A 26366-nucleotide genomic window follows, 5' to 3' on the forward strand; every position below is an offset into this window, starting at 1 on the left:
GCCATGAGAAGCCCACATGTGCCACCCTGGGAGGCCATGGGAAGCCCACATGTGCCACCCTGGGAGGCTAGTCTCTAATGAGGCCAAGCAGGGACATGACAGGGACGGATAAGCAGGAGAGAAAGATCCCTGGGGAAGTGCACGAGGAAAGGACGGAGGGGGAAGGGGAAGCTGGAGACCTGGAGGCCACCAAAATGCACCGAGAGAAGGCAAGGTGGCCCTGACCCATCTGCTTCCCACAGAGGCACTTGCTGTCCACTAGCGGGGGTCAGGGCAACCAGCAAGCACCCCCTCGTGAAGCGCCACGACTCGACATCGCAACCGCAAAATGATAAGTACTTGCTCAGCCCCAGAAGGCCACGGCACCACTTTGCGTCTACAAGGATCTGTTCTTTCCTATCCAGCCACTTCTGAGAAAGTGGGAGGGTACTGCTTTGTCCTGGCTAATTTTCTGTCACTTTCACTCCCCCTTTCTCTGAGTTTATGGCAAAAATAACCTCACCGCTCAAATTTTTTGGAAATAAAAAATTTTTAAAAAGCCTAGAATCCCACCACTCTAAACACTTCATATCCCAAATCATTTCAACTCTGCTGGATTTCACAAAGCCTGATGCTGGCGTGCAAGCTCAGTGGGGCGGGGCGGCTCTGTGCGCGGGTGGATGGCCAGGCCTGCAGGTGGCATGCACTCAACAAGTGGGCCGTGGGTGCACATGGACAGGCGGCCAGCGTGCAAATGCCCCTGCCGTCTCTGCAGTCACCAGACGTGGCAGAAGCCTCTCCCTCGGCCTCTGTCCCCTCGTCATAGTCACCGTCCTCAATGCTCCCCTCTGTAAGCATGCCAGTTTCCTTTCCCAACCTGGGGAAATCTAGGTCACTTCTTTCTTACTTTTTTCATTTTAATTTTCTATTATAAATGATGCCTCCTTTCTGGGCTGATGAGAAACCCAGAATACCTACAGGAAAAGTGGCACAGTTTTGATTACTTACATGAGGAAAGTTAAAAGACAAGCCACAGACTTGGAGAAAATAGTTGCAAAATACATAACAGCCAATGGGTTACTATCCTTTACATAGACGGCGCTTGTAAAAATCAATAAGAAGAAGATGTTAAAATGGAAAAAAGGGCAAAGAATATGAATTCACTGGCAAGACACAAGCAGGTAGTAGACACAAGCAACATCTTGTCTCGCTTATAAACACAGAAATGAAAATCAAAACAAGATCCTTCCCTCCCTACACTGGAAAAAATAAACAAGACTAAGTCTCTCTTACTTTGTTGAAAGTGTGGTGAAAGGATCCTCTCGTGTTATGATGATGGGAGTATAATAAATTGGTATAACCAATTCAGAGGGCAATTTGGCAAAATAATGTAAATATGCTTTTACTAGCACACAAAGGTGTAAAAAACACACTTTTGGCCAGGCGCAGTGGCTCACGCTTGTAATCCCAGCACTTTGGGAGGCCCAGGCAGGAGGATCACCTGAGGTCAAGAGTTCAAGACCAGCCTGACCAACATGGTGAAACCCCGTCCCTACTAAAAATACATAAATTAACTGGGCATGGTGGCAGATGCCTGTAATCCCAGCTACTCGGGGAGGCTGAGCCAGGAGAATCACTTGAACCCAGGAAGTGAAGGTTGCAGTGAGCCGAGATGGCCCCATTGCACTCAAGCCTGAGCAACAGAGCGAGACTCCATCTCAAAAACAAAAAAACACTTTTACCCATAAATCTTACTTCCAAAAATCAATTCTGAAGAATAGCAACACAACCAACAAAGGATATGGATATGGGTGTTCGTTCACACTGTTTACAACAACAACATATTGGGAAAATCCAAACGCCCATCACACGAGGAGCTGGCCAGGAGTCGGAAGCACACAGGCATCAGGGGCCTGCTGGTCCATGGTGAGAAGGGGTGGGTCTCCATTTTCTTTTTGTTTTTGTTTTTGTTTTTTTTTTTGAGGTGGAATTTCACTCTTGTCGCCCAGGCTGGAGTGCAATGGCACGATCTCGGCTCACTGCAACCTCCACCTCCCAGGTTCAAGTGATTCTCCTACCTCAGCCTCCCGAGTAGCTGGGACTACAGGGACGCGCCACCACGCCCAGCTAATTTTTGTATTTTTAGTAGAGATGTAGTTTCGCCATGTTGGCCAGGATGGTCTCAATCTCTTGACCTTGTGATCTGCCCTCCTCGGCCTCCCAAAGTGCTGGGATTACAGGCATGAGCCACTGTGCCCGGCCTCCATTTTCTCTACTAGAAGAGGGACTTTGCCTTTTCTACCACATTGTTTGAAATATTTACAACTAGTAATAATTTTGCAATTACCAAGACCATAAAAAGAAACAGGTGGAGGGTATATAAATCAAATACTACTACAACAGACACGGAAGTGAGATCTTTGTGCCAGTGTCTTCTCCTTTTGCACAAAAGTCAAGGGCAGACCATCTGCCCGTCTATTTATTGATCCCATCTTGTCGGTCTCCCCCAGAGAATGCCAGCCTCTTCAGGTCAAAGGGCACCCCCTTTCTCTGATTCTTGGTGCATCCCGCCCAGTGGTTATCCTGAAGAGCTCGTCGTGGCAGGTTCATTATACACGTACAAGACAGGCTGATTCCTCTTGGTGTTCAATGGTGCACCTTTCGGAAGGTAAAGTGCCTTACCTCTGCCTGTCTGATTTATTTTAACTCTCTCCCATAAGGTTTCCAGGGTCCAGAGGGCTCCAATTCCGTTTCACAAGCCCTGCCCAGTGCCTGGTCTACAGCAAGCAGGCGCTGAATACATTTTGCTTGTTTGATGAACTGATTTTTCCCCAACCCCCTGCACCACCCCCAGCTCGGAAGAGGTGGTGGAGGAAGTGACTGGAGTCTTTTCAGAATAGTCACGAGAAATGCTGGTTAGACCCAAGAGAGAACAGGCAGATGATGCCCACGGGCAATGGTTCAGTAGCTGCCACTGACCATGGCTCTGACCCGCCAGGCCAGGACGGCTAGAGCACATGCTGGGAGCTGCTGGCCGTGGCAGGACACGCTGCCTGGACACCTTCTTTTGCCTTTGGGAACCCCCTTTAGACTTTCCCGGGGTGCTCGGACTTTCCTTCCCAGTATTCCAATCTCGTGGGAAGGTGATCACTCTTCAAGGATAGGCCAGACCCTTCTCTTCTCCTCATGTGCCTTCGCTTGTCCCTTTCTTGCTGGAGACGGTGAGCTGGCCAGGGACCTGGGAACCAGCAACCAGCTCCTCACTCCGCAGTCTTGGCCCTTCTTCCGGACTCAGCTCCTCCAATCTTCAATTTGGCTCTGATGCCCTAATTTGAAACTCTCCTTTGGTGTGATCTTTTTGGGAATTAAAGAGGGAGCTCTGCATACAGGAATGAGCCTGTGTGCACCCTGGAAGGTACCAGAAGAAAGTGCAGTCTGGGCAGAGAGTGGAGGCAGAGGCTGGACCCACTCGGCTCTTGGGAGCGCGGGGGCTTGGTACCTCCAGAATCTCCTCCATCTCCAGCCTCCTTCCCTGTGACACACGGGCAGAATCTCACACTCTGTCTGAAGTTTCCAGACAGTTGGAAACGTCGCTCATGCATATATGAACTCAGTCACCACGTTCCCCAAAGACCCAAGGCCTGAGCTGAGGAGGCATTCGACCCCAGCCAGCGTCCCCAGCCTCGTCCCCCCAAGGGTCCCCAGCCTCATCCCCACCCAAGGTCCCCAGCCTCAACCCCACCCAGGGTCCCCAGCCTCGACCCCAGCCAGGGTCTCCAGCCTCGTCCCCACCCAGGGTCCCCAGCCTCGACCCCACCCAGGGTGGCCAGCCTCGACCCTACCCAGGGTCCCCAGCCTCATCCCCACCCAGGCTCCCCAGCCTCGACCCCACCCGGGGTCCCCAGCCTGGCCTGCGGCCTGCCTGGCAGAGGCAGGAGGTTCCCTTCGTTTTTATCTTGATTCTGAGGAACGAACATTGGCTGCATTCCCGACAGCCGGGCCAGGAGCAGGGATGTAGGTTTAGGATACCAGGAGACCCTGGGGCTGATGTGGGGGGCACAGAGCAGGCGCCACTTCTGGAACCTTCCCCACCAAGGCTGTTCAGGACCAACGAGCATGACTGCAGGCAGAGCCAGGGGAAGGAAGGCAGAGAATAGGCATAATGCCCACCTAGGAAATAGGCACAAATGAAGACCCCACAACCTCCAACTTGGATGCGGAGTCAACCATTCCTCACTACCTGCACTGGTGAGGTCTGTGTGTCCACCTGGCCAGCCCGGGATGCCCAATAGCTGGGGATGCGCTGTTTCTGGGGGAGTCTGTGAGGTGCCTCTGGCTGAGACCAGCGTTTGCAGTGGTGGACTGTGGCGAGCAGATGCCTCCCTGTGTGCATGGGATCATGCAACCCCTTGAAGGGCTGAAGAGAACAAGAAGGCAGAGGAAGGAGGAACTTGCCTCTTTCCTCCCACCTGCCTGCTTGGGCTGGGACACTGGCCTTCTCCTGCCCTGGGACTGGGTCCCCACCATCAGCTCCCGGGTGCTGCCCTCAGGCTTGCACTGGAGCCACACCACCAGCTTTCCCGGGGCTCCGGCTTGCAGGCGGTAGCTGGCAGGACTTCTCAGCCTCCGTCCTCATGTGAGCCAACTCCTCACTATTGGTCTGCTTCTCTGAAGGACCCCAACTCATGGGTCCACCTGACCGTGGTCCAAGTCCCATCACACTTTGCAAAGCTGACTGCAGCTGCTGCTCACTGGCCTCCCTGCCTGGCCCCTTCCATGCACCCTCCTCCAGCATCCAAGAGGATCCTGTGAAAACCCACGTCAGACCATGGCCCTCTGCACCGCCTCCTGCAAGGCATGCAGTGGAGGAAGAGTGACCTCAAGTCACTCGTGTGACCACGCGGGGTTGCCCCCGTCACCTCTCTGACCTCACAGCCCACTACGGTCCCCCACAGCCCACTCCCTCCCTCCGCTCTGGCCACGTGGCCTCCTGCATAAGGCTGCTTCTGTGCCAGAACGTCCTTCCCTCTGACACACACAGGCTCCTTGCTCCTAACACCTGTAAGATCCCTCCTCCTATGTGACCTTTTGCCTGGCCACTTTCTCTAAAATTCCAACTCCCTCACACTGCACATTCCCTCACACTGCACATTCTATATCCCCTTCCCCGCAGGATTTTTCTTTTTTAGAGATGGGGTCTCACTATGGATTTTTCTTCTTTGCCTTAATTTTTATCCAACACCCTACACATTCTATTTATTTATACCATCGTGTCTGTCTTCCCCAGAGAATGCCAGCTTCTTCAGGCCAGGGATCTCTGCTTATTCTGTTCACTACTGAATTCCCAGTGCCCAGAACAGCACCCAACACGCAGTAATGAGATTGTTGACGAATGGAAGACCGCACTGCTCCATGGGGATCTGGGAGAGGAAAGGGTTCCTCTCTAGGCAGCTGCTGAGGCCTCATCGATCCAGTATCTACACAGGGGTCCAGTCCAGCTCCTAAAAGTGCAAAGTAATTATAGATGCGATTATTCTCCTGAGCACAGAATCAGCCAGGCAGTGTGAGGGGCCAGCCTGCACTGGTGCTGGACGCACACAGAGTCTCAGAGCCACACCCTCCACCCTCCTGGGGAACTGCCCTGCAGAACCACCCCCCATGGGCGGGCACTCGTCCTTCTGGGGCTCTTGGAGGAAATGGTTACAGAAGACTAGGCCAGATGACAATAAGGGATGGAGAATAACTAAGTGCCAAGCCAATGAGCCATCTGCTGGTAAGAACTCCATGCCAGGCAGCACAGGCGGTCCCAACAGCACGATCTCTGGATTAGCCCAAATAGCATCGGAACATTTGACAACAAATTGAACTACTAGTAATAGTGCTCACTTCAATGAGCCGGGGACACAGTATCCCCATGGCGAGTCAGCTGGCCCGCTGTAACCACCCAGCTGGGTCTCCCCACCCCAAAGGCCTCCAGGCTGTCCCCTTCTCATCCTGTCACTTGAAAAGCACAACTCATGGTGCCAAAGCTCTGACACGGACTCCACTGGAGCTGTGGGCAGGGGGTGCCAAGGTACCGAGTTCCAAGCCGTTGTTATTTGAGAGCGTGCCCCCCGCCATGAGAGCAGGTGGGGGGACATAAAGTGACACAGGATGGACTGGCCAAAGGCTGAGGACGATCACTTACCTCACAGGATGATGCCACCCCCACGGACAGGCAAGGAGCTCTCACCTTCCCCAGGACCCCAGCTGCCACCAGAGCTCCAGATGGCCCTGGGGGTGTCTGTAAAGCCTGTGACCGTCCACCAGGTGGAGACCAGGCTGGCCAGGGGAGGGAGAGGAAGTGACCACTGGCCCTGGCACTGGCTGGCCGGCTCCAGCAGGCCCGAAGGGGAGGGAGGAGCCTGGGTGCACCAGACTCTCTCAATAAGCAGCACCCAGACACTTAACAGATGGAAAGCGGTGGCTTGGAACTCACTTCCAACGAAACAATAGCACATGCTCCGGCTGGCTTTGACACTTGCTTCCAAAGGCGACCTGCACCCAGGGCCAGGACCACGGCATCTGAGCCTCCTCCCCCAGCCGCCAACCCCATTCCCAATGGAGGAGCCCAGGAGAACTGGGGGCGGCCAAGGCAGCCCTTCCCTGCTCCGCAGATCCAGAGGATGCCCACAGCCCCCTTCCCCTCCCGCCTTTCCCACACTCCCTGTAGCAATTCACACAAGCGGGGAGGGGACGAAACTGCTGAATCCAGCAGATAGCTTGTGGCGGGGTAATCCTCGGTCCGGCCCCATACAGGACAGAAATAAAATCGCCATTTCAGCTCCGGGCGCAGCTGGAGGAGGCTGACGCCCCCTAGTTAGGGGAAGGCTGTGGGTGACCGAGAAGGAACTTTTCCCGTTTTCTATTCAAATGAAATGAGGGTGGCGGTCGCAGCAGGGAGAGAGGAGCGAGGGGAGTTTTCCCGGCGGGGCTGGGGGGTCCACAGCGGCGCGGCCACGCTCAGCCCAGCGCTGGCTTAGGAGGGACGGGCTGCGTGGGGAGGCGACGGCTCCGGGCCGAAGGGGTCGCTCAGGGCTCTGCACAGCTGTCCAGGGGGCATCGGGAGATAGGCAGCCGACCGGGGGCTGGAGTCAAGGGAAGAAGAAAGAGGGGGAAGGGAGGTGCAGGGAGTGAAGAGGAGGGGAGAGAGGAGAGACGGGGGAGGGAGGGGGGAGGGGGGAGGGGGAGGGGCGGGCGGGCGGCCGGGAGGAGGAGCGCGCGAGCCGGAGTCGGAGCCCGAGCCCGAGCGCGAGCCGAGCGGAGGAGACCCTGCGGCGCGCGGCGGCGGCTCCCGGGCGTCCCGGGCCCGGTGGCGGCGCGGCTGTGGTTGGCTGAGCGCCGCGGGCCGCCCCCCGCCCGCCCCCTCCCCTGCTCCCCTCCCCCGCCTCCCGCGGCGGCTGGCGTCGGGAAAGTACAGTAAAAAGTCCGAGTGCAGCCGCCGGGCGCAGGATGGGATCCGGCTCCTCCAGCTACCGGCCCAAGGCCATCTACCTGGACATCGATGGACGCATTCAGAAGGTAGCCCCTCCCCCACCCAGACACCCCCTCCTCCCCCCGGGTGACAGCGCCGGGGCCGGGCGCGGCGGGGCGGGACTGTCCGTGCGTCTGCCGGTCCAGGCTGCGGCCTCCGTGCGCTCCGCCAGCTCTGGTCGGGGGCGGGGGTCCCCACGCGCCGGCTCCCCGGGGAAAGGGGCGACTCGCCCTGGGGGGTGGGGGGTGGGGGGGCGGGCTAGTGTTTCCGTTTCACAGGCAGAGCTTTTCTTTTTGAAAATCTGATTAGGCTGAGTTTTTACATTCAAGGGCTGGCACATGAAGCCTTTAATTTCCGGTGGATCGGCCCGCCGGGCAGCCCCGGGGTCGTGGTCCGCGGAGGGGGCGAGCAGCCGCCGCTTCCTGTCGCGCGGGGGCAGGTGCGGGGGGCGCCGGCGGGGACACTGCTCCCCCGCAGGTGAGTAGCTCCGACTGCAGAGGGGGACTCGGGCCGCTGCACCTCCGGGGCCCCGCGGAGAGCCTGGGGGGCAGCGGGTCCGGCTCTCCCCTGCTGTGCGGAGATAGGAAGTCCCTCGAATGTCCAGCGTTCCTAGCGGACTTGAGTTACACGGGAGAGGGGTTCAGAATAGACCCCCTTTGTTCGTGGCCCCCTCTGACGGGCAGGGAGGGACAATGAGCGCGCCGGCTTGGAAGGGGCTCTCATGAGCTCCCCCTAAAGTCCCCAGGGAAAAGCCATTGTGAGGAAATCCCTCAAACCTCAGCTGGGCGTTTCAGGAAGCCCTTGCAGCTGCTTCTCACCTTTCTGCCCACGGAGTACTCCACTGAAGGAGGCCAGGGAGAGATGCCCCAGCCAGGCACAGAGCAGGTGCCGGCCAGGCTTGAGTCTTTCCTGTTCCCAGAGGTGCATTTGGCCAGTTTAATCAGTAGATTTAAGCCAACAAGCCTCCCTCACCCTGTGCCCGGCTTGATCCCCGTGAAATGGAAAGTACAGCCCTCTCCCACCGTAGCCCGCTTTGAGAGACTCAGATAACCGGGAGGAGGAAGCATCTTCAAGGACAGGTGGTCACCCCCTTATTTAATCAGTGCTGGGCAGCTGGGCAGCTGGGCAGCGGCAGACGCACAACTAGACCCAGGTCCCTGACTCCAGGACTAGGCGTCTGCAATTGCATGGGACTGTAACAGCCTCCTTTCTCCCCAAAGGAAGGAGTGGCCCTCCCTTGAATATGTCACTGCACCAGCATGCACACTCACACACACACACACATGCTCCAATGCTCACACATCCACTCACAAACACACACACGCACACACGTGCATACACACACGTGCACATGAGCACACAGACATGCACACCACATAGGCACATGCACACACACTTTTTCTGCCCGATAGATGAGAATGTATCAAAGACCTGCCTTTAAAAGCAAAAGTCTTTTTAAAGTGAGTTGTCACCAGATCAACAGTAGCAGGTCCGTCCTAAGAACTTCCTAAAGATGTCCCGGGAGCAGCTCTCTTGGAAGCAGGTGAAAAGTGGAGGAGAGCTTCAGGAGGGGTGGGAGGAGGACGCTGGGCATGGCAGGCCAGGCTGTTATTGTGGGCAGGGTAGCTTTTCACAGTGGACACGCTGAGGTTGGGGTGATCTCCAGAAAAGCAGCCTGCAGGTGGGCCCTGGGGAAGACATGGCATGTGGCACCTTTGCGGGGGAGAGGCGGATTGACTGCCAGCTCTACCACTTCCTGTACCACGAGCAAGCCCCTGGGCTCCCCAAGCTGGCATCCCCGTCCATAAAGAAGGGATAATAAAATCTGCTTTATAGACTGGAATGAGAAGGGAATGAGTGAATGTAAACACTGCCTGGAACACTGCAGAACACGATGAGCATTATTCTTCCCTCAGTTCCTTCCATAAACGTCCTTTTGTGGTGCAAACAGGGAGGCGCCAGACGGGTCTCCAACCCCCACCCCGCCCCCCATCTCCACGAGGTCTGTTGCTTGCTCCTGAGCTGCCCCCGCCCTCTGCCCCTTGCTGTGAACCCCGTTGGAAGCTCCTAGCTGGACTGTGAGTCCTGGTTGAAGCTGAATCGTTTGCCCAAGCCATGTGCCGGGCAAAGCATGATAACTTCTCGCTCACCTCCCAGGCTGCACACCCAGCAGTGCTGTCACGGATGGGTTGCACCGGGCTCAGCTGAGAGCACTTTCAGTGCCGCTGCCATCAGCCGCCATTCCTTCTCTTAAAGTACCAGGCACTGGGTAAATCCTGGAATTTCCAGCGTGAATCTGTCTCCCTGCCATCCGCCCCATCTCCTCTCCATCAAAGGTCATGGAAACAAACCCATGTTGCTTCCTAGGAGGGAGCCCTGGGGGTCACTGGGTGCAGGAGATAAGGGATGTGTTGCTTTCCGTCACTGTGTTCGTCGGCACCACCTGGCCATGAGTCCTGGCGATGGGCACACCCGCCCCTTCGTTATCTCTGCTCTTTGTCCCTCTGGTTACCTGACCCCTGGCCATCTCAGTTTCCCCCTGAGACCGCAGAGACGGGGAGGAAGGAGGGAACATTAGAAACTGGGGGTTCTGCCGAGTTCTGTGCTCCGGCAAAGCTCCAGGTTGACAATCTGAAGTTGTCTGAGGGAGGCCCCGGGCAGCAAGTGCCGGTGTCTCCTGGCTTGGCCTTACCTGTGCAGGTAACCCTGCAGACATGCCCAGTGATTCAGAGGAGCCGCTGCAGCCACTTGGCGCCAGGCCAATGCTTTATTTATATGAAGAAAACTCCAGACACGCACAGGTGTCACATCACCAGAGTGACACAGTGGGAGTCAGCAACAGGAATTTGGGGGATTGTCTTCCCTCCTCAGGAGCTTTTCCTTCAGAGGTTGTGCAGAGGAAGCTGGGCGTGTGAAGTGAGTCGGAGGTTGCCTCCTGAGCCCTACACGAAGGCAGGACTCTGTGCCCTGGAGTCCAACTGAGGCTCCGTTTTCAGTGCTCCCCTCTCATCTCGAGAACCTTGGGTCAGTTACTTCACTCTGTGCCCCTGTGCTGCTGTGCTAATAATTAAATGGGATAAGGCAGATTGCCTGGTCAATGAGCCCGCCGTGTTTATTGAGCATCTACTATGTGCTGAGTGCTGGGGTCCATGGGAAGCTGAGTGCTGGCGGAATGGGAAGGCAACTACAAATGATAAACAGCAGCAGACGTTGCAGGCTGGGTGGGCCAGCCCCGTGTGGGGCCTGATGAACAGGTTTTTTTCCCTGACGATCGGCTTTGCAGGCTTTGTGGGCTTTGTGGGGAAGGAGCCCTTTGTGCAGAACTGGTAGCCATGAGGATGGCCTGGTGAGAAGCTGCTGAAGGGCTGGGGACAGCCTCCACCCAGCCAGCAGCATCTGCACCGGCCTGTTCCCGTCATCTGTTCCTTGGCTTGCCAGGGTGCACAGATCAGGACTTGGCACTTCCCCAGCACCAGGTGAAGCCCTCCTGTCACCCCCAACCCCGTGTCTAGACCCTCAGGTGGGCTGTTAAAGAAGGGGAGAGGTGGAAGCCAGGTCCCCAAACCTAGGGTGCTGAGGTCCTTGCTTCAGAGAGACTGTGTCCTCTAGGAGCTGAAGCGCTTCGTCTTTCCCCAGAGGATTCGTTTTTTCCTTTCCTCAGCTGCCCCTACCCTGGGGGGCCCTGGCTGCAGCACCTGCTCCTTTCTCTTGCCTATGGAGAAAGGGTTTGCTCAGCTGAGCTGCCCATGGAGTGACAGGGACGACGCACTCAGCACTGGGGAGCTGGAGGGGGTCCCACCTGGTGGCACATCCAGGCTTGGGTTTGCCAATCTTCCGAATCGGGGAAGAGAGAGGCCTTTGGGACCCCTGGGCCAGGCTGTGGGCTCGGGTGTGGTGAGGAGCCACATCTGGGCAAGACTGAATGCTCCGGGGCCTCTGTGGTGCCACTGCCCTGACCTGGCGGCCCCCTCGGGACACTCGCACTGTGCGCGGCCTCCCTGGCGCCTCTGGGCTGTGGTGTTCTGGTCTTGGCCTTGCTCTGCAGCTGGAACCCAGGTCTGAACACATCGGTGGCCGCTTGAGTTTGCGGGGCTGTTTCTACTGTAAACCAGAGCAGTGAATGCGCACAGCCCAAAGGGAGGAGCCGCGCTAGAAAGTGTTCAAGCGTCCGCAGAAGTCGGCTCCCAGTTCTTAATAGTTTGCCACCCACCGTGGCTACGCCACACCTACGCTTGCCTCCACCCGACCTATGCCTGCCCCCTTCACATGCGGGAGCCCAGGGCTCCGTGCCCTGGGCAGCTGGTGGGGTCTGCCCAGGCCTTCTCGTGATGCTTCCACCCAGCCTGGTCCTGGCACCCAAGGCCAACCTCTGCGGGCCCCAGAGCTGTGCCTTTTTGGCTCAGGTCCTCCCCGCAGTGCTTGGAGTCCAGGCCTCTGCACCCTGCTGGGGTGGTCTGTGGTCCTGGCCCAAGGGAATGTCGCTCCCTGCTGCCTGGTTCTACTGATCTGTCCTGTTCAGGCCCCTCTGCCTTCATTTCTTGCTTTGGCACAAGCATGAGCTGCTGTTTCCCCCAGCTCCTCAGGGGAGAGGAGTGCACTGCCCCAACCTTGTCTGGTGTGGTTAGCATGGTGGGGCCTTAAGCCCTACCCGGCTCCTGCGTGCCTTTCCCCTCTCCTGCCCACGACATGGTCAAATGCAAACCTCCTTTCATTTTAGAAGGCATGGGCTGCTCAGCCCACACGCGCAGTGCCCTTTCCTGTGGCTGCAGGCATCTCTGCTCAATTGTGCAGGGCTGCGTCCCCCGGCCACACTGACTCCTCTCCAGGTTTCTCGGCTCCAGCACCACTGTCTGCGCCCTCCTTCCCAGGTGGACGGCGGCTCTCCTCGCCATCCTCTCCACTTCCAGCCTATCATCTGTCTGCCTGTTACATGTTTGTAACTTTTGACCTTTAAATTGGTATAAAAATGGTACTGTAAGTTCACTGAACCAAGAAAATCTGCTGAAGGAAGGGGGTCAGTCACACCCTTTTGGGGTTTCCAGTGTATGAATGGAGGGGGTGGCGGTGGTGGAGGGACAGGGAGCAATGAGAGTTGCCAGCCTTATTGCTGTCCTGACCCCTGGCTGGGGACGACTCCCCTGTCTCCACCTGAATTGAAGCTGGGCTGTGAAAAGTAGTAAGAACCCTCGGTTTTTGGTTCCTTTTTCAACCAGCAATCAGCCATGAAGTGCCTGACCACTTGAGAGCTACAGCAGGTGCTGTCTCGGAGAGGGCACAGGAAACTGGGCCCTTCCCAATTTTAGCCCAAGGGTGCCGAAAAGTCAGGGAGCTGCTGGCCTCCACACTCCTTCCCATTGGTGTGGTCCGAATTCCCCTTTAGCCAGACATTTCCAATGTCCAGAGGCCCAGGAGGGGACAGCTGGAAGCCAGAAGCCCACCTGACGCCATCAGGAATTTCCATGAATGACCTGGAAACCTCTCAGACTAAACCAATGCCGCCCAATCTGGGAATCCAGGAGGGCTGGTCCCATAGAGTGGTGGGGACATGGTGCTGAGACGGACAGCCTCGCCTCATCCGCCTTTCCCACTTGCCAGCCGGGAGGCCTGGGCAAAATCACTTTCTCCCCAGGGAAGTGGAGGCTCACTGTGCAGTCCACGCGGAGCAATGGGGTGAAGTTTCCAGAGCAGGGCAGGGCATGTGGGGAGGCTCAGGAATGCCACCCTTGCCCTCAGGCCTGGGCACAGCATAGCCCCCATGACGCTTCTCTCATCCTGGACCCATCAGCCCGGAAGACTCTGGAAGCAGCAGTGGCAGCACCTTCCTGTCACTTGTCTTGTCACTCCCCGAGTCCACTGTGAGCTAGAACCACAGGCTCCCATGAAGAAGGAGCCAGAACCACAGGCCCCATGAGCCCAGGTCCCACAGCCCGCACCTTCGTCTTCCAGCCAGCCTCTCCGGAGCTCAGTGTGGGTGGAGGGGCTGTCTGGCCTCAGAAATGGGCAAAAGACAGCTCTCGTTGTCAGCGAGGTAAATCTAGCGCAGAGGAAGGGCACACTGTCCCCGTCAGACGCCTCAGATGAACTGACATGCAAATGAGAGATGAAACGGGGACGAGCCGGGCAGCTGATCTCAGTGCAGCAACTGGGACACCTCGGGGCATAAGCCGGGCAGGGAGGCGGCAGGAACTGGGCCCCAGGGGGCCAAGACTTCCTGAGAGGCTGGGCCCGGTAGCCCAGTCCTGGGCTTGCTTCCCAGGGGGTGGTGGGCAACCCTGAACCCTCTCTCACCCAATCACCTGCTCCCCTGGGTGCAGGTGACCCAGCAAGCCGCACTCCTGGGAAATTTCAGAAGGTTTTGGGCAAGAAGGGCCCAGAGAGCCCCCAGAGACCAGACGGCACAGCCCGATAGCTGGGCCTGCCCCAGACAAAGCGTGTCTGCACTCCTTGGCTTTCTCCCCAGACAAACCCACCCTGAGCTCAGGATCCCTCCAGCTTCCAGGAGCAGGTGCGGGGCCTGCAGGGACGGCTCGCAGAGAAGGCAGTTTGCGAGTCAGTGCCTGGCTTGTGGAGGTTGAGACCAAGGCCAGTTGGGTGCTTGCATTTCCAGGGGTCCAAATATTTTTGAGAAGAAAATGTTCTAAGAAAGTGCACAGGGTGGTGGATGAAAGACCACGCTCTGGGTACCGTGTACACCGCTCGGGTGACAGTGCACCAGAATCTCAGAAATCACCACTAAAGAACTTACCCATGTAACCAAACACCACCCCTTCCCCAAACACTATTGGAATTAAAAAAAAAAAAAAAGATTAAAATGGTTAAAAATAGAAAGTGCACAAGCAAGGGTCCATCTGCAGGAGTTGGAGGAGCGCATGCCTGTATTCCTGGCACTGCGGGCACAGTCATGCCATGGGCACCAGGGACGCCCAGTGCACTCAGCCACCCAGGGGTGGCTCCCAACATTTTCAAGCTCAAAAAGAAATATTTTCACTTGAGGGTGCAACTTATTTGTCTTGAACCCATCCCTGACTGCCTGTCTCCCCCCTCACCCTGACCACATCTCCCCAAATCCCGAAGCTGGTCACGCAACGGGAGCATTGGCCCTGAACAGAAACCCGCAGTACCCCTGAAAACTCGGTCTAGAAACAACTAAAAGAAGAACCACAGCATTTTATTCCGTTTGCTTTAGATTCTCTGCCAATTTTTTTTTTTTTTTGAGATGGAGTCTCGCTCTGTCGCCCAGGCTAGAGTGCAGTGGCGTGATCTCGGCTCACTGCAACCTCCGCCTCCCAGGTTCAAGGAATTCTCCTGCCTCAGCCTCCGGAGTAGCTGGGACTACAGGCGCCTGCCACCAGGCCCGGCTAATTTTTTATTTTTAGTAGAGACGGGGTTTCAGCACCTTGACCAGGCTGGTCTCGAACTCCTGACCATGTGATCCGCCCGCCTCAGCCTCCCAAAGTGCTGGGATTATAGGCGTGAGCCACCACGCCCAGCCTTTTTTTTTTTTTTAATTTTAAATTGTGGTAAAATATATGAACAATAAACCCTCCCTCCCCATCCCCCTCCCCCAGCCCCTGACCCCCACTGTACATTCCGCTTTCTATCTCCATGAAACTGCTGAGTGCGGGGACCTCACAGAAGTGGAATCACACAGGATCGCCCTGCTGTGCCTGGCCTCCTTCACTCGGATCATGCCCTCAGGTGCATCCATGTTGTAGCACGTGTCCGAATTTCCTGCCTTTTTAAGGCCGAGCGGTATTCCATTGTGTGCGTGGACCACATTTTGTGTTTCCATTCAAAACGGATGAATCGATGAAACTGCCTGATATTTTTAAAGCCTCAGTCATTTTCATTCTTAGTTCTTCAGTTTGCAAAGGGCCGGCCTGTTGTGATGGGTTTATTGTTGCATCTTCTGAAAAACTTTGTGAGTTCCCGAAGGCCTCTCCACGTCTTGAGTCATGGCTGTGCTGCTTTGCGAAGCTGTGTGCATGTCTGTGGTGTAGCCTGTGTACAGCCTGTGATGCGTCGCAGCGGAAGGGTAGGGGGCTGCCCAGGGAAGACAGATGCGCCAGGTTCCGCTCCACGGAGCTCAGCTACCAGCCCTGGTGGAGAGCGCAGATGGGGCCGATTTGTCATTTGTCTGCGCTTGAGCCCAGCAGCTGTGTGGCCTCCCTGGGGCAAGTCATTCACCCTCTCTGTGCCTCAGTGTCTCTGTGAAGTGGGGGGAAGTTTTTGGAAGATTAAGTGGGCTAATACGCGTCAAATGCTAGAACACACTGGCACTTGGTAAATGCTATATAAGTGTTATCATTTTTGTTTGTTTATTATTTATTTATCCATGTCATGGATTTAAGGCAGTCTAATCTCAGTGCCTGGTGGAGACCCGGGCGCCACCCCCCCAGGTTGTCAAGTGGTCCCTGTGCCTCCCACTATCGTCCCCAGCACGGTGCCGTGTCCGGGCGTGCGTGAAGGGCCAGCTCACCTCACAGCTCTGCTTCCCAGGTTAGCTCCCATCCACCCTCCCCCTACCTGTTTCCTCACCGAAGGAAGGGGCAGAAAGATGCCCTCCATGCCCCTTCCGACTGTTGCAGAGGGATGGAGGACTATGGTACATACACACATATACACGCACACACCCACCACACACACACACCATGCACATGCACATCACACACACGCACACACCATGCACACACACCACACACGTACACACCATGCACATCACACACAAGCACACCACACACACCAAGCACACGCACATCATACACATGCACACACACCACACACACCACACACCACACACACGCACATCCCACACCATGCACACACACACCACGCACACGCACTGCACACACATGCACACACCATGCACACGCACATCACACACTTGTACACACCAGGCACATCACACACAAGAACGCACACCACACACAAGGACACACACCACACACACACACCAAGCACACACACACCACACACACGCACACACACGCACACACCCACCACACACCACACACATGCACATCACACACGTACACACCACACACAGCACACACAAAAACACACCACACACACCATGCACATGCACATCACACACATGCACACCACGCACACGCACATCACATGCACACGCCACGCGCCTCACACACAAGAACACACACCACACACACGCACACCACACACACGCACATATCACACACATGCACATCACATACATGCACACACCACACTTACACACATGCACATCACACACAAGAATGCACACCACATACACGCACATCACACACATGCACACACCACACATGCACATCACACACCTGCATATACATCACACACACATCACACACATCCACATGCACCACACCCACCACACACATGCACGCACCTACCACACATGCATATCACACACATGCACACACACCACACACAAGCACATCACAAACACCACACAGGCACATCACACACATACATACACACCGCGCACACATCACACACATGCACACACACCACACACGCACAGTATGAAGATGACAGAGAAGTCAGCAGAGCCCCTGGGGGTTTCAGGAGTTGAGTGGGGACGAGGCAGGTGGCCACACAGCTCGGAGGGAGGGCAGAAGGCACCCGTCTTCGCAGAGTCACAGTGGGGCTTGCCTCCTATACGTGCCGGAAGGGTGAAGCCCCTTATCTCATTGCCCGATGTGATGAGGTTTGAAGTGGTTGAGCTTGGAGGGTATGGGCTGAGCCCACAGCAGACAGGCCTGGCAGTGCCCCCCGTCTTCCCACCCTGCGGTCATGCAGCCCGACTCTTGGGGGCGGGGTGCCACCGTGATGTGCCGTCACTTGCAGCAGTATGTCCTCATGCCAGGCTGAGACCAGCACTGTGTGACCAGCCTGCCCCATGTCCCTCAGCGCTGTGTCACACTCCACACTGAGGCCCCACTGAAGCATGCCAGGCCCCATCCTATTTCTTCCAGGTAGTCGTCTGCCCAGCACCTCCCCTCCCAGGCCTTGCCCTAAAGCCCAGGCCTCTCAGCATCCAGGACTCTGGAATCTCCCAGGTGTTGATGGCTGAGGTCATCAGCTGGATGCCAGGACACCCAGGATGCTCCAGGTCCTTGCTGGGGTCTGGAGTTTGTGATTCAGCCTCAGTCCCTGTGGTGAGTCCACCATGTGTCCTCAGACAATGGATCAGAGAGCCCCCAGAGGACGGCCCGGGGCCGAGTCGGGTCCAGATGCCAAAGGGGCTTCTCGAGGCATCTCCAGCTCCCACCTGCCCCTCGGAGTGCCAGGCTTGGCTTCTGGAAGAGAAAGCTGGGGGTTTAGTGACTCCAGCCAACTGCTGTGAGCCCAAGGCATCAAACTAAAAATAGCGAGGCCAAGAGGGAGTCTTTGTGTTCGGCTCAGTGGGCAATGGTGCCTCACCTCGCAGCATGACACAGGGCTGATGACACGGGGCACGTTGGTCACAAAGTGCCAGTCTCAGCCTGGCACAGGGACGTGCCACCTGCAGGTGATGACACATCACAGTGGCAGCCGCTCCTGATGGTGCTGCTGCATTGAGTAGGAGCCCAGATCCAGGGAGACAGTTGCAGCAGATGAGGCAGGAGGCCAGCGAGGGGTTCTACCTGCTTTCCGGGCTGGCCTCTGCATGGACACAAAGCAGAAAGGGCATAAAGGTGACCCTGGCCACCAAAGCAGACCTGGAGCAAACTGGACCAGCGCAAGGCCCCGGTGCCAGCACTCAGAGACATTTCTTTTCTGGCAGGAAATTTGTGCTTCATTTTCTAATGAAATTCCAAGGCAATCAAAAGGCAAGGAAAGAGGAGGGAAAGGAAGGGAGGGAGGGAGGGGGTTCCATTCCCATCCGAATGGAAGCCCCCAAGGCTTCTGTAGCTCCCCCCATCACCAACTTCACTCACCACTCTTATCTGATGCCTCCTATTTGGGTACACACGGCCGGGTCGGCCTTGCGAGAGACTCAGTTTCCTCTCGACTTCCGCCCGCCTGCACTGTCACCACGTCCTGCCATTGACCTCTGTTCATCCACTCATGGTCACTGCTGTGAGTTGAATTGTGTCTCCCAAAAAAGTGGATTTCTGTGCTAACCTGTGAATGTCCCGTTAGTTGGAAATAGGGTATTTGCAGACATAATCACATCAAGATGAGGTCATACTGCATTGGGATGGGCCTCAAGCCCATATGCCCGCCATCCTTCTAAGGAGAGGGAAAGGCAGACACACATTTGTCCATGGAAATGAGAACGGAAGACGTAGAGACAGAATCAGGCCATGTAAAGACAGACTCAGAGACCAGAGTGATGCATGTACAAGCCAGGCTCTGCGGGCAGCCCCTAGAAGCTGGAAGAGGCAAGCCTCCTCCCTGGAGTCCTGGGAAGGAGCCAGCCCCGCCCATGCCTCGAGCTCAGGCTTCAGGCCTCCGGAGCCAAGAGAGATAAACCTCTGTGGTTTCATGTCACCCAGTTTGTGGTCTTTGTTATAGCAGCCCCAGGACACTCAGGGGGTTGCCTTGTCCACCCCCATCCTGGCCCTCTGAGGGACTGGTTGGCTCTTAGAAGACCGTTCAACCTGCCCTCTGGTCCTCCTCCCCCACCCAGAGACCCCTGGCTACACCCTGCCCAAGGGAGCTCACCAAAGCCCACAGGGTCCCTGTGATCTTGTCACCTGGGCTCCCACAGGCCAGCAGTGTTGGAACCTGGACATCTGGCTCCAGCCTTGGTGGCCACCCCCGACCTTGCTCTGCTCCTACAGCTCCCGGCCTTCCCTGCCCTGGCCGGCCCTTGCTGAATGTCCCCGCTCCTAGGAAGCCGGATGTGTCGCGTGCAGGTGCCTCTCTGCACTGTAATAACTCCTCACCAGGCACCCTTGGAGCCCAGGATCAAGTCACTCACCTTCCAACCCTGCCCCTGCCCAGAGACTGGCACGAGAACCAGTAACAGTTGTTGAATAATGAACAATGGATGCATGCAGCTCACCCGTGAGAGGGCGTTGCTCGGCTGGGCCAGGGATGAAGCTTCTCCCGCGTGGCTCCACCGTCTATCCCTCAAGCTCCTGATGCTCCCCTGGGCACCTCTGCGCCATGAGGCCCCGTTGAAGTCAGTTGGGGAGGCAGTGTGGACCGTGAGAAGGGAGTCCTAAGCACAGGAAACGCTGCCTTCCTGGGGCCCTAAAGAACAGGCTCACCTTCCCCAAGGGCCTTCAGGCCCTGACATCTAAAAAGATGTTCTTTATCAAAGGGGAAAGCAGCCCTGGGGTGGGGGCGTGGCCACCAGTGCAGTGGGCGTGGCCACAACCGAGAGGGCGTGGTCATTCGTGCAGTGGGCGTGGTCATCAAGAAAGGGCGTGGCTGCAGCCGGAAGGGCGTGGCTATCAGCTCCAGAAGGCCCTTCTTGCTGTCCTTGGACTTGGGTTCTCCTTGTCGACGAGGATCTCAGCTGGAGCTGCCAGGGGCAGGGCTGGCACCAAAGCACTTCTGAAGTCTCCCCGCCTCCCAAGTGTGAGGCTGTGGGGAAGGAGGGAGGGCAGCTGGCTTGTTTCTGGATGAGCCCATCTGACTCAGCAGCTGGGACCCAGCAGGAGCGCAGAGCAGGTCCTGAAGGTGCCGAGGCCCCACCCGCAGCTCCGTCTCAGCTTTGTGAGGGCTGCACTCCCCCGTGTGCATCCGGCGTCACAAAGGACCACAGGCCCGGCGGCCTCCACAGCAGACACCAAGGCCCTCGCGGTCTGAAGGCCGAATTCCCAGGTCAGGCTGCAGCAGGGCTGGTTCCTGAGGCCTCTCCTGGGCTGGCACCTCCTCCCCGTGTCCATGCAGGGCCGAGCCTCTGCATGTCTGTGTCCTCGGCGCCTCGTTTTACAAGGACATCTCATTTTAAAGGCCCGGTCTCCAAATAAGGTCATATCGTGAAGTGCTGGGGTCAGAACTACAGCATGAATTTTGACGGGACACAGTTCAGTCCATAGCACCCGCTTTGGGAAGTGGGAATGACCTCTCCCTTCCCCATCTTCTGGCCTTTGTAACCCTAATGTGGGAAAGCAGGAGGGATCCAGAACGACATTGGGTCACCAAAGAGAGCATCGCAGCCCAAAAGGTTGAAAGGCGGCACCAAGGTCCCGCGCCTGGTGACCGCCGACTCGCCCTCCCGGGCTCCAGGCTGTCCCCACTCCCCCCCGCCCCAACCCCAGCATGTTGAGGCGCCTGGTCCCAACTGCCCATTCACTCCCTGTACACAGACTGCTTCTTTGTCCTCCAGCCAGGGGTGAAGGGCCATGCTGGCGAAACAGCAAACAACCCCAACATGCTTTGCAGCCTGGCCAACCACATGACCAGTTTGAGGAGGTTGGCTGGAGATCACAATGAGGAAGTTGGATGAGGGGGTCCAACTTCTAGCAGCCCATAAGCCTATCCATTCAGACACCAAATCCATGGAAAACAGAGAGACAATATACTGATTTTCAAAAGGGAGACATACCCCAGCAAGTACAGACCAGGGAACAGGGTGCTGACGTGGCCACAGTTCTTAAACTACTCGACTTCATGGATGGGGCACAGTTTTTTTTAAAGGAGGATTTAGAATTCTATTTGGCAGGTGGCATGAAAAAGAGTTTTGAATAGAAACACACCCCTCCCTCCCAGTTGCCTGCCCAGTATGTTTGTTTTGTTCTCTTGAAACAAAGGAAGAGAGTGGTGAGGAGGGAGGGAAGATGAACCAGGAAGAATGAAAGCACTTGGCCTGCTTCTCAGATGGTCTTGGACTGTCTCCGCTCACAGGAGTTGCAGGTTTTTGGGTTTTATGCAAGTTCGGATCACAACAGGCCTCTTGCAAGAACCAGGCATTACCTTTATTCCAAAAGCCTTGCTGGGCCTTCTTGAAAGGACTGGCAGCCACCACTTCCCTAGAAACCCGTGGCAAGTTCCCTCCTCCCGACCCCCTGCTGTTTGGTCCAGGACCCCCTGCAGTCCTGACTGGGACCCACTTGGCCCTTCTCAAGGGACCCAGCACAGGACGTGTGTTTCTGCTTTGATGAACCGCCCTTTCCCCCCTGCAGTTCTAGTGGAATCTCCCCTCCCTTATCCCATTCCCACTTGGAAATGATGATGATGGAATGGGCGATGCCGGCTTACCAAGACATCCAAGCTCTCTGGGTCGAAGTTGGAGAGAGGGGTGCACAAAAAGGATTCCACTCCTGTCTGCCTTCCCCTGCCTCCCCGCTGGGGTGTCCCTTTCCCATGGTTTCCTCTAAATCTTTTCACCCATGTCCAGCCACACCATTCTCACATACTGCCTTGAAACTGGGCTCGAAGGGGCTGCGTGCTGAGAGAAGGTCCTCTCCCCCAGTGATCCTCCAGAGGGGCTGCCGCCTGGGTCCCCCGAGCACCTCCTACCCCACCCTCCCCATTCCTGCCATCCCCAGGGTCCAGGGAGCCCAGATTCCAGGGAAGGGTTGCATTAGCTCCCACTCGGAGTCCTGATGCAGCAGAGACAGACAGAGGCCCTGGGAGAAGTGAGCATGAATTATTAAGACAAGACAAGGGTGAGGCCCCAGAGAGGGGGTGGCGGAAGGGTCATGTTCATGCAGCGAGAGTTGCTTCGAGCTTGAACCGCGTATCCAGGAGTCAAGCAGATTGCAACTGGCGAGAGGCCTTCAGAAATGCCCCGTGAGAGTCCTGTGTGCAGAGCTCCATCTCAGCACACTTCCTGTTCTTTTGGTTCGTCGATTTTTGCATTTTCAGTCCCCTGTGATCCATTATTTATAACAGTGGAGATTGGCCTCAGACACTAGCAGTGAGGAAAACAAAAGCGAAGCTACGCAGAAAAATGACAAGAGTGATGAGCACAGCAGTCATGACAAATGAGCCCTGTGCGGAGGCCCGGGATCCGCGCAGATGCCGGCGCGGGGGAAATGGGCCCTGAAATCCCACCGTCAGGCCAGGCAGCTCTGAGCGTGACCTGGAGGGCTGTTCAGACGGTCTGGGTAGCCGTGTCCTGCGCATGAACATCCTCCGTCGGGAGAGGAATTCCCCACGGATTATCAGAGCTGCTCCCTCCACCCCCCGCCACGTCCCACGCGGGCCACATCAACTCCCTCTGCAGCCTCTGGCCAGCGGCTGAGCCCTCCGTGTCTCCCCTCGTTAATGCCTCCTTCACCATCCCCTCCTGAAGTTTCCCCCATTGCATACACGCGCTGAGGCCCACCCGGTATCAAGGACTCCCATTGCTTGCGAAAAAGATTCCACCCCTCTTAGAACAGAGACCAGGGCCGCTGTAGCAAATGGCCATAAATGCCACAGCTTAAAACAACAGAAACGGATTATCTCGCAGCTCTGGAGGATGGAGTCCAAAATCTGAATCGCTGGGCTGAAATCCAGGTGTGGGCAGGGCCGCGCTCCCTCTAGAGGCTCCCCCGGAGATTCCCTTCCTTGCCTCTTCCAGCTGCTGGTGGCTGCCAGCAGTTTGGGAATTGCGGCCGCATCACACCACCTTTCTGTTTGTTGTTGACATCCCCGCCTCCCCTGCCTGCGGGGTCTTAGATGTCTCTCTCCTTCCCACTGAGTTTCACTCCACATTTGAATTGGATTAACTCATGCCATGTTAGGCAAACGTGCCCCTCAAATCCTTCCACTTAACAGACATTTATTGAAGGTTCCTGTGTGCGGGGCCCAAGAGAAGGGACATTAAATTAGGAGATGAACCTTGGGAGGCCATGGCATGCTTCGGAGCCTCGGCGTCAAAATGACAACCCACACCCCACTTGGCGGTTCATCTGGGGCCCTGGAATCAGCAGACTGAGGCTGGAACCCAGCAATGGCACATGCTGGCTGTATGTTCTCGGGCCTCAGTTTCAACATCAGTGACATGGGGATAGAATCTGCCCAGCGGAGTTAAGTCACCGCATCCCGGAGAGCCGAGTGTCTCATAGAGGCTCCTGGTGTGGTCTCCATGCTGCTGCTCAGCACGGAATGAAGAGGTTCAGGAACTTGCCCACAGCCACGGATAATGAGGGACAGAGCTGGAATTGAGCCCGGGAACCTGCACACACAGCCCAGTGTGACCGTGCCTTCTAGAGAGAGGCCAGCCCTGGCACCAGGTGGGCATGCCAGCATCACCTTCAAGGTGTGCTTTAAGGATCCAAGATAATGTGGGTGCTTCAACAGATGCATGGCAATAAAAGGAAAGCACCATGTTTCACCTTCACACACACACACTTACACATTCACACACTCACATACTTACACACATTCTCATACACTCACACATATGCTTACACACATTCACAGGCTCACACATGCTTACACACACATTCACACGCACACACATTCACACGCACACATACACTTACACACATTCACACACATACACTTACATTCACACACATACACTTACATTCACACTCATACACATACATACATTCACACACATATTCACACATTCACACATACACATTCACACACATACACTTAGACACCACACTCACATTCACACACATTCACATACATTTACACACACATCCACACACACATTCACACACATTCACATTTACATTCACAAACATTCACACATACATTCACACGCACTTACAGTCACACATACACTTATACACAGTCACACAGACTTGCACATAGACTTACACACATACACTTACACACGCACTCACACCTTCACACACACAGGCAATCACACATTCACACTCACGTACACTTACCCACACATTCACACATACACACACCACATACACGCATACACTTACACATGCACTCACACACTATCACATTCACACACACATACACTTACAAACTATCATTCACACACATACACACATACACATGCATTCACACACATGCTCACACACTCACACATACACTTACACTCACAGTCACATACACCCACATTCACACACATACACTCACATTCACACGCACATACACTCTGACACACATATACATACATTCACTCACACATACATTCACACACACACGGATGCATTAGTTTTCAAGTCAGGATCCTAGCACAGCCCACACCCTGCATTTGCTTGGTGTCTCCTGAGGTCTCTAGTTATACTTCCCATCCCTTTTCTTGCCATGTATTTCCTGAACACATGTTATCTTTGATCCTTAAACCATGACTTAGAGATACAGATGTATGACAAGCTGAGAGATGATGTGAGACTGTTGTTAATTTTTTCTCCATGTACTAATTACATTGTGGTTATCTTAACCACAAAGGAAGCGTTCTACTCCAGAGAACCGCGTGGAAACAGTGCAGATGGACTAGCACGATACCTGAGAGGAGCTTTAGGATAACTCCGGTGCTGGGGAGGTTGGGGCCCAGTTCAAGCAGGAGGGGAGGCGTGGGGACAGGTGTTGAAGCTGTGGGTGTGCAGCGGAGGCTTCATGACGCTTTCCTCCTGCTCTTGTGTACGTCTGAGCATTTCCATAACAGGGAAGTGTTTTGTTTTGTTTTTTAAATAACATTTTAAATGCCTCTGGCACATGGGAATCCATGGTAATTTCTGTCGTTGTTGTATATTCTTTTTCAAATGCAAGGACCTGAAAAATATCTCCTAAACTGGAAAAGGAAATGAGGCTGAATACAGATTTTATTTTAGCAAATAGAGAAGCAGTGATTGTCTGGCGGTTAACTGTAATCCATTCTGAGTGTGACTTTACTGTTAAGTATTCTAAAAACAAGAGACCAAACAAAATGAACAATATGTCCAAATGTGTATATATATAATTTGTAACTAGAGGTAAATTGCAGATGAATTGCAGATGTACACAGACAGATGGATGGACAGATGATTGATATAGATTGATTGACAGATGATTCATAGATAACTTGCAATGTTTCTTCAGTGAACGCATATTTATTTCTTGGGTAATAAGAAAAAACAATAGAATGTGGAATTTGGGGCTTGGCCTCTTTTAGCTCATTTAAAAAAATATTAAACACTTGGAATTATCGAGCGCTGAAAAAGGCAATAGAAAATTCACCTTTTAACTCCCTCAAAGATAGAAATGTGTGAATCTGCTAGTGGGTTGCGTTTGGCTGGTCCTGCAGGCTGATTTGGTCTGTTCTCTCTCCCAGAGAGATCCCCAAGCCCGGCTGAGATGTGCCTGTTTGTCTTGAGGGCAGACAAAGCCTAGCAAAATCTTATGGAAGCTGATATAAAAGCTTAATAGCTTATAAAAGCTCTAAAAATGATTCACAGTCTAGGATAGAGAAAATAAAAGGAATTTGAATTGGTTTATTTTCCTTTAGAGGAGCCTAAATCAATATTTATTCTGAGTATGCAATCAGAAATATCAGTAATTTGAGAACAAGGCAAACAGAGCTGCACATCCCGTTATGGCCACGAGCCCACCTCGCCTTCGTTCAGACCACAGCTGAAGGTCTGACTTAGGTGCAGCACGCACCCCTGGAGCTGAGGGCCTGGAGCAGGGCCAGGCCGGGCTCTTCTCTCTCTTGTCTGTCCTCGTCTGTGGGGGAATGAAGATGACACAGCACTCAGGAGGTCCTTTTCAGGACCCAGAGTCACTGGGCTTTTAGGGCGTTTGGCTCTGGTTCTAGCCCGAGTGTGGTCTCAGTCCCCATTGGTGGTTGTGGTTGTGGCATGGGCATCATTAGTCACACAACATAAAACCACAGAACGCAGAATTTGCTCACCCTGGTTCACACAGGAGCAAGCTTGGGCACCAGCACCCCCTGAACGCATGCCAAAGGGCAGGTCCAGCTCAGTGCTGGGGTGTGGAGGAACCCACCTGGGGCCTGCCTGCAAAGACAGATGCCCTGCCGTGTTTAGAAAAAGAGAAAACTGGCCTAAACCACAGTGAGGTCAAATGGATCATTTAACCCGTCGAGTTT

At 55.2% G+C, this 26366-nt stretch overlaps 1 protein-coding gene and 1 long non-coding RNA gene across 25 annotated transcripts in view, besides 6 other annotated features; one reads left to right on the forward strand and one right to left on the reverse strand.

The window, feature by feature from the left end:
• Positions 1 to 814: 814 nt before the first annotated feature.
• Positions 815 to 7314, reverse strand: LOC101928255 (uncharacterized). Of its 2 annotated transcripts, XR_007067879.1 has the most exons (4): positions 6167 to 7178; positions 5246 to 5480; positions 4220 to 4396; positions 815 to 4099 (listed from the first exon to the last, which is right to left on the reverse strand). It is a non-coding gene; the product is annotated as an uncharacterized LOC101928255 (long non-coding RNA). The 2 variants fall into 2 exon arrangements; XR_244322.4 differs by having other exon boundaries at positions 5246 to 7314.
• Positions 6241 to 6962: an enhancer, noted in NCBI's record as "H3K4me1 hESC enhancer chr21:44072695-44073416 (GRCh37/hg19 assembly coordinates)". NCBI's record gives its function as "activates a minimal SCP1, AML or CMV promoter by ChIP-STARR-seq in primed H9 embryonic stem cells {active_cell/tissue: H9 hESC(primed)}" and the evidence as "EXISTENCE:reporter gene assay evidence [ECO:0000049][PMID:30033119]".
• Positions 7277 to 26366, forward strand: part of PDE9A (phosphodiesterase 9A) — a 121889-nt gene continuing 102799 nt past the window's right edge. For all 23 annotated transcript variants that reach the window (NM_001315533.2, NM_001001570.2, NM_002606.3 and 20 more), the window contains exon 1: positions 7277 to 7539. Coding sequence is in view for 14 of the 23 variants with exons in the window: in NM_001001570.2 (NP_001001570.1) it covers positions 7471 to 7539 (69 nt within the window). In the remaining 9 variants the exon portion in view is untranslated. The remainder of the gene's footprint in view (positions 7540 to 26366) is intronic.
• Positions 13508 to 13677: an enhancer, noted in NCBI's record as "active region_18529". NCBI's record gives its function as "activates an Ori minimal core promoter by ATAC-STARR-seq in GM12878 lymphoblastoid cells {active_cell/tissue: GM12878}" and the evidence as "EXISTENCE:reporter gene assay evidence [ECO:0000049][PMID:35858748]".
• Positions 15067 to 15936: an enhancer, noted in NCBI's record as "H3K4me1 hESC enhancer chr21:44081521-44082390 (GRCh37/hg19 assembly coordinates)". NCBI's record gives its function as "activates a minimal SCP1, AML or CMV promoter by ChIP-STARR-seq in naive H9 embryonic stem cells {active_cell/tissue: H9 hESC(naive)}" and the evidence as "EXISTENCE:reporter gene assay evidence [ECO:0000049][PMID:30033119]".
• Positions 19693 to 20199: an enhancer, noted in NCBI's record as "H3K27ac-H3K4me1 hESC enhancer chr21:44086147-44086653 (GRCh37/hg19 assembly coordinates)". NCBI's record gives its function as "activates a minimal SCP1, AML or CMV promoter by ChIP-STARR-seq in naive H9 embryonic stem cells {active_cell/tissue: H9 hESC(naive)}" and the evidence as "EXISTENCE:reporter gene assay evidence [ECO:0000049][PMID:30033119]".
• Positions 21695 to 22641: an enhancer, noted in NCBI's record as "H3K27ac-H3K4me1 hESC enhancer chr21:44088149-44089095 (GRCh37/hg19 assembly coordinates)". NCBI's record gives its function as "activates a minimal SCP1, AML or CMV promoter by ChIP-STARR-seq in naive H9 embryonic stem cells {active_cell/tissue: H9 hESC(naive)}" and the evidence as "EXISTENCE:reporter gene assay evidence [ECO:0000049][PMID:30033119]".
• Positions 22642 to 23587: an enhancer, noted in NCBI's record as "NANOG-H3K27ac-H3K4me1 hESC enhancer chr21:44089096-44090041 (GRCh37/hg19 assembly coordinates)". NCBI's record gives its function as "activates a minimal SCP1, AML or CMV promoter by ChIP-STARR-seq in naive and primed H9 embryonic stem cells {active_cell/tissue: H9 hESC(naive and primed)}" and the evidence as "EXISTENCE:reporter gene assay evidence [ECO:0000049][PMID:30033119]".

This window comes from Homo sapiens, chromosome 21 (assembly GCF_000001405.40).
Source record: "Homo sapiens chromosome 21, GRCh38.p14 Primary Assembly".
Classification (NCBI taxonomy): domain Eukaryota; kingdom Metazoa; phylum Chordata; class Mammalia; order Primates; family Hominidae; genus Homo; species Homo sapiens.